The following is a 7060-nucleotide window of genomic DNA, read 5'->3' as shown; positions in this document are numbered from 1 at the left end:
TATTTATCCCTTTCTCCACACCTGTGTTCCTCAGGGAAGCAACCCTCCACGAGACACAATTCTGACTGGTGATGTGTAGGCAGACGTCACTGGGGAAGAGGCCTAAAGCCAAAGGGCAGAGCTTTGTTAGGAGAAAGCTCTTCACTCTGTAGCCCTCTTACTTCTTCCCATTCTCCCTACTGGATAGCCTGGGGGTATAGCAGTCACACTAAAAAACAGATAGGCAAGTAGGAAGGAAAGCCCTCTGTGCTGAGCAATGGGAAGACGACCTTGAGCAATAGGAGGGTGCCATGTTTGGGTCACACACCAGCCCTGCCCTGGCCTCCTCTGATGATTATTTTCTGAGATAAGCATACCTTTATTTCTTTAAGCCACCATCAGAAATATCAAGAGTTCTGATACTTGTTGCCAAATACATTTCTAACTAATGCAAGAGAAAGAAAGAACCTGGTCCCCTCCAATTCCATCATAAATATATTCGCAAATTATGGGACGAGCGAAAGCGTTCTATGTTCTCTAAGCTTCAGTTTTCCCCTGGGTAAAATAAGTAACTGTTCTTGACCTGCTTCTTTATGGAGTTGCTCTGAGGATGAAATGATATATGCGAGGACACTCTGAAAACTGTCAATTGTATATGATTATCAGTAGTGGGCGCCATGCTAGGAGCCCAGTCTTTGTGCCCATCTCTGCTTGGGTGTTAGGATTAGCCACTAAATAGAGATCTAGTTTCAAAAGTCTTCTTACAAAAGGCTTCTCTGGCATAGAGGTGCCCCAGAGATAAAGGGCCAGCTAACACAGAAAGCCAAGTACAGAAACTCAGAAGAAATATTAGAGTGAGGGTTAGAGTGCCCCCCCATTAACAGTGTCAGAGGAACCACAGAACTGGTGGATGATGAGGAATTTTCTGGTACAACCCTGCATTCATTGCCTGAGGCTACCGCAACAAATGATCCCAAGTTGGGTGGTTTATTTTATTTATTTATTTATTTGTTGAGATGGAGTCTTGCTCTGTCGCCAGGCTGGAGTGCAGTGGCGCCATCTTGGCTCACTGCAACCTCTGTCTCCCAGGTTCAAGCGATTCTCCTGCCTCAGCCTCCTAAGTAGCTGGGACTACAGGCACATGCCACCACGCCTGGCTAATTTTTGTATTTTTAGTAGAGACAGGGTTTCACCACGTTGGCCAGTATGATCTTGATCTCTTAACTTCGTGATCCACCTGCCTTAGCCTCCCAAAGTGCTGAGATTACAGGTGTGAGCCACCATGCCCGACCTATTTTATTTTTTTCTTAAAGACCAGTGTAACAGTATTGGGTACTTCAAAGCAACAGAAACTCATTTCTTTCACAGTCCTGGAGGCCAGATATCTGAAATCAAGGTGGCAGCAGGGTTCATTGCTTCCAGGGGCTCACAGGGAGAATCTGTTCCTCGCCTCTCTCCTAGCTGCTGGTGGCTCCCGCCATCTTTGGCATTCCTTAGTAGCAGGTGTATCACTCCAAGCTCTGCCTCCATCCTCCCATGGCTTTCTCCTCCCAGTGTCTCTGTGTCTGCTCCTTTTTCTTTGTCTCTTGAAACAACACCCCTCACTGGATTTGGGGTCCACCCTATATCAGGATGATCTCGATTTGAGATTTTTATTTAAATGACATCTACAAAGATGCTTAATCCAAATAAGGTCACATTCTGAGATTCTGAGTGGATCTATATCTTTTGGGAGCCACAGTACAAATCCCAAGAGTATCCCTCAGATGTTCTTGGGTCCAAGTCCTGGGTAACAGGCTCACATCCTTGCAAAAGGGGAAGTGTGGGTTTTCCTTTGGGGGCCTAAAGGGTCTGTGGTCACTGAGAAGTCCTCACAGCCTCCAAAGGCAGAGCTGCAGGAGGGAAGTTGCAGTAGCAGCAGATGAGGCTGGGAGAGAGGCAAAGCCAGCAGCAGCAGCTACAGGAAGGGATGCACTGCCTCCCCTGTATGGCCCTTTCCCCACTCACATGACCAGCCACCTGTCTGTCTTGCCACAAGTTCCAGAACAGTCTTAACAGGGTATACCAAGTGCACTCAGTCCTCATCCATCCCCACGCCCCTCTACCTGCCTCCCAACGCCCAGTTCACAGGGCTTCAAATCACGTCACCATCTGCTTTTGGCCCAACCTGGGTCCAAGAGGGTCCTAGGGCTGCTGCTGAGCCCCAGGAATCACCTGAGTCATAGCCCCTCCCCAGGGTTGTCCCCACGACAGAGGTTCAGGTTCCACAGCCTCTTCACACAACTCCCTAATCCTGAGTCCACTGAGTGCCTCAGGAGAGTGAGCTTCTGTCCTGGCTTCTATTTCTGAGCTTGCCATGTCATCTAAGGGAGCTCCCCAACATGTTCTGCAAGGACTCCCGCCTTGCTCTAGCCAGGATTCTTGGATCTCACCCCTTCCCACTATCTTCTGCCCTCGAGGCACAGACACACCTTGGAGAATGCTGAGTGAAACAGAAGCATAAGGAGAAGGCTCATAGGACTCAGGCAACCTCAGAGCTCACACGATTTGGGGAGGAAAGGAATCTGTAATTGTACCAGGAAGCCCATGGCAAGTGTCAAGTAGCAGAATAGACATGAAAGCCCCAGAGATAGTTATGAGAATGGAATGACCACCTCAGGCATGGCAAAGGTGGAATTTGATTTAATGAAGAAAATGTTCTCTGATCATTCTTGGCCATCTTCTCACACTTCCAACAATGTCATATGGCTGAGGATTCTCAGTCTGCATCTCTAGCCCAGGGCTTTCTCCACAGTCTCACAACTGTTTTCTGGAGGCCTACTGGGCATCTCCACCCAGATGTCTCCCAGGACCTTAACCTCAACACAGCCAGACTTGAGCTCTTTTTCTTTTTTTTGAGATGGAGTTTCACTCTTGTCACCCAGGCTGCAGTGCAGTGGCCCAATCTTGGCTCACTACAACCTCCGCCTCCCAGGTCCAAGCGATTCTCCTGCCTCAGCCTCCTGAGTAGCTGGGATTACAGGCGTCCACCACCAAGCCCAACTAATTTTTGTATCTTTAGTAGAAATGGGGTTTCGCCATGTTAGCCAGGCTGGTCAGCATTGCTGGCTTCCCAAGCAGATGTCTAGGAAGCACCTTCAACAACTTCCTTTCCTTTACCGTCTTATATGATCACATAGGCACAGAGTAAATACGTTTAAGAGAAGGAAGAGAGGGAAAAGGAGTTCATGTGGTTGAGCTTCAATCACTAAATTCTTAATTAATTCAGAGACTCAATCTGCCCTAGGGGACAGAGAGACAACACTGATGTCGCCTGTCTCATATGCTTCCCTTGTTCCTGGCTAACAGAATCATAATTGTGCCAGGGGAGCAAAGTACCCAGCTGAAACTACTATGTAAATTTCTCAGCTTCTTTCACCACTAAAAGCAGCCATGTGACAAGATGCTGGCCAGTGAGCTGCAGGTAAAAGTCCCCAAGAAAGAGGTCCCCTTCTCAAAATAAAAAAAGGAAAACCTTACTAAAAGAAAGCCCTTTTGTTGCCCTTTGCACCTTTGCCCTGCCCTCATTCCTGCTTAGAAGGAGCAGCCATCCTGCAGCCACAAGGGAACAAGCATGACAATTGATTGGCAAGAGAATGGTGTGTAGAAAGATGGGCCAAGCCTACATCCCTCATGTTGCAGATGCCTGGATGGCCCATTCCTGCGTGCCTACCTGCAGACCTCCTTTTGTATAATACAAAATAAGCCACTCTGTGTTTAATCCACTGTAGTCAGGTTTCCCATTATTTATGTTCCTGATTTCTGCCATTATTTTATCATTAGTATTCATATATATGCACGTCTATGTATATCCTACAAACTCCTCAATAATCCTCCACAAAACATAGGGAATGTCATGGATACTGTGCTACTGCCTAAATTTCCCCCTTCAAAAAGGGAGAATTCACGCCCAATACGGTCAGTCCTTGTTATGGTTTGGCTCTGTGTCCTTGCCCAAATCTCAGGTCATCTCGTAATCCCCAGTGTTGGAGGTGGGGCCTCGTGGGAGGTGATTGAATCATAGGGCCTGGTGGGAGGTGACTGAATCACGGAGGTGGATTTCCCCCTTGGTGCTGTTCTGGTGAAAGGGAGTGAGATCTCATGAGATCCGCTAGTTTAAAAGAGTGTGGCATCTTCCCCCTCTCCCTCTTGCTTCTGCTCCCGCCATGTGAGATGCCTGCTTCCGTTCTGCCTTCCATAATGACTGGAAGATTCCTGAGGCCTCCCCAGAGGCAGAAGCCTCTGTGCTTCCTCTACAGCCGGCAGAACTGTGAGACAAACTTCTTTTCTTATAAATTACCCAGTCTCAGGTATTTTTTTTATAGCAGTGCAAGAATGGATTAATATAGTCCTCTTTGAGAGTTAACTTTGCTCAAGAGAGATGCTCACTCAAGGTCACCCTCCTTCCTGGGAAAGCACATTGCCAACAGCCAATGCAGGATATCTATGCCTGGTCCCCTTGCCCAAAATCAGATCTCTCTGATGGACCATGCCCCTGGGATTAGCTGAGAACTCTGGTGACTGCCTCACACCAACTTTTCCCTCTGCCCTCGTGGATGTTGATCCTGAGAGCATTCCAGAGTCAGGCAAATCTCCATCTCAGCATCTTCTCCAGGGACACCAACCTGCAAAGAACTGCCCTGATAACAAAATGTGAGAAAGAGAAGCCTCGGCCCGCATGTCAGGCAGTCTAGAGTGCTCACGTTAAGACATTCTCAATTTTACAAGGACAGAGCTTTTTCCCTCTTAAACAATCAAGTATAAAATAGCTTCGTCAAAATAGCATTAACACCAAGCCAGAGCTCATGGGTGTCCCATACTGGCTTAACAACCGGGGTCCCAGAATGACTTCTTTGCTTAACATGGGTTCTTTCAACTTTTTATTACTTGGCTTAAATGTTAACAACCTATTGTCTGATTTTTTTTTTTTATGGAATTTTAGGCACTGTTGCCAACCCTCGTGGAAAAGATCTGTTTGTGTTAGCTATTCAGGCATGAATATTGGAATTTGAAAACAAAGAACATGATCTAGTAAGCTCATGGGACTTATCCTTCCAGAGGAAAATGTTCCCCGTGTCTACACACTGTCCCGCAGCAGATGCGCTCACCCTTCTACAACCAGAGGTGTGTTCACGCCAGATGTGTTCTGTTTAGGGCTGGGGTCAGCAAGTATATTTGCGTCTTAGATAAAATAACTTAGTGCCAACGTGTGTCTGAGTCACGGAGCCATGAATTTGGATTCCATACCACCCAGGCAGGCTGAAACTCTGGGTAGATGTGGAAAGGGTTTAAAGATATTTCAGAATGTCACAAAGAACTGTGAGCTCTGAGAAAACTCTATCATGAGTTTAGTGCAAAGTACTTGAGCACAGGAAATCCCATCAGAGGAGAGCTCAGTTTGGTCCAGTGAAATTCCATGAACAGAATCCTGAGACGCCTCTGGGCTTCGGTTCAGGTAACTTCAATACAGAGAAGAGGTTGCAAAAGAAGGTTCTTCTCACCAAGTCAATCCTAAGCCAAAAGAACAAAGCTGGAGGCATCACGATACCTGACTTCAAACTATACTACAAGGCTACAGTAACCAAAACAGCATGGTACTGGTACCAAAACAGAGATATAGATCAATGGAACAGAACAGAGCCCTCAGAAATAACGCCGCATATCTACAACTATCTGATCTTTGACAAACCTGAGAAAAACAAGCAATGGGGAAAGGATTCCCTATTTAATAAATGGTGCTGGGAAAACTGGCTAGTCATATGTAGAAAGCTGAAACTGGATCCCTTCCTTACACCTTATACAAAAAATTAATTCAAGATGGATTAAAGACTTAAACGTTAGACCTAAAACCATAAAAACCCTAGAGGAAAACCTAGGCATTACCATTCAGGACATAGGCATGGGCAAGGACTTCATGTCTAAAACACCAAAAGCAATGGCAACAAAAGCCAAAATTGACAAATGGGATCTAATTAAACTAAAGAGCTTCTGCACAGCAAAAGAAACTACCATCAGAGTGAACAGGCAACCTACAAAGTGGGAGAAAATTTTCGCAACCTACTCATCTGACAAAGGGCTAATATCCAGAATCTACAATGAACTCAAACAAATTTACAAGAAAAAAACAAACAACACCATCAAAAAGTGGGCAAAGGACATGAACAGACACTTCTCAAAAGAAGACATTTATGCAGCCAAAAAACACATGAAAAAATGCTCACCATCACTGGCCATCAGAGAAATGCAAATCAAAACCACAATGAGATACCATCTCACACCAGTTAGAATGGCGATCATTAAAAAGTCAGGAAACAACAGGTGCTGGAGAGGATGTGGAGAAATAGGAACACTTTTACACTGTTGGTGGGACTGTAAACTAGTTGAACCATTGTGGAAGTCAGTGTGGCGATTCCTCAGAGATCTAGAACTAGAAATACCATTTGACCCAGCCATCCCATTACTGGGTATATACCCAAAGGACTATAAATCATGCTGCTGTAAAGACATGCACATGTATGTTTATTGCGGCACTATTCACAATAGCAAAGACTTGGAACCAACCCAAATGTCCAACAATGATAGACTGGATTAAGAAAATGTGGCACATATACACCATGGAATACTATGCAGCCATAAAAAATGATGAGTTCATGTCCTTTGTAGGGACATGGATGAAATTGGAAATCATCATTCTCAGTAAACTATCGCAAGGACAAAAAACCAAACACCGCATGTTCTCACTCATAGGTGGGAATTGAACAATGAGAACACAAGGACACAGGAAGGGGAACATCACACTCTGGGGACTGTTGTGGGGTGGGGGGAGGGGGGAGGGATAGCATTAGGGGATATACCTAATGCTAAATGATGAGTTAATGGGTGCAGCACACCAGCATGGCACATGTATACATATGTAACTAACCTGCACATTGTGCACATGTACCCTGAAACTTAAAGTATAATAATAATAAAATAAAAAAAAAGAAGGTTCTTCATCTCAAAATTGAGTCTGGAAGAAATCTCAGGGAAAGATCTTGTTGTC

This window comes from Homo sapiens, chromosome 6, assembly GCF_000001405.40.
Source record: "Homo sapiens chromosome 6, GRCh38.p14 Primary Assembly".
In the NCBI taxonomy this organism is placed as follows: domain Eukaryota; kingdom Metazoa; phylum Chordata; class Mammalia; order Primates; family Hominidae; genus Homo; species Homo sapiens.
This window is presented reverse-complemented; position numbering follows the sequence as displayed.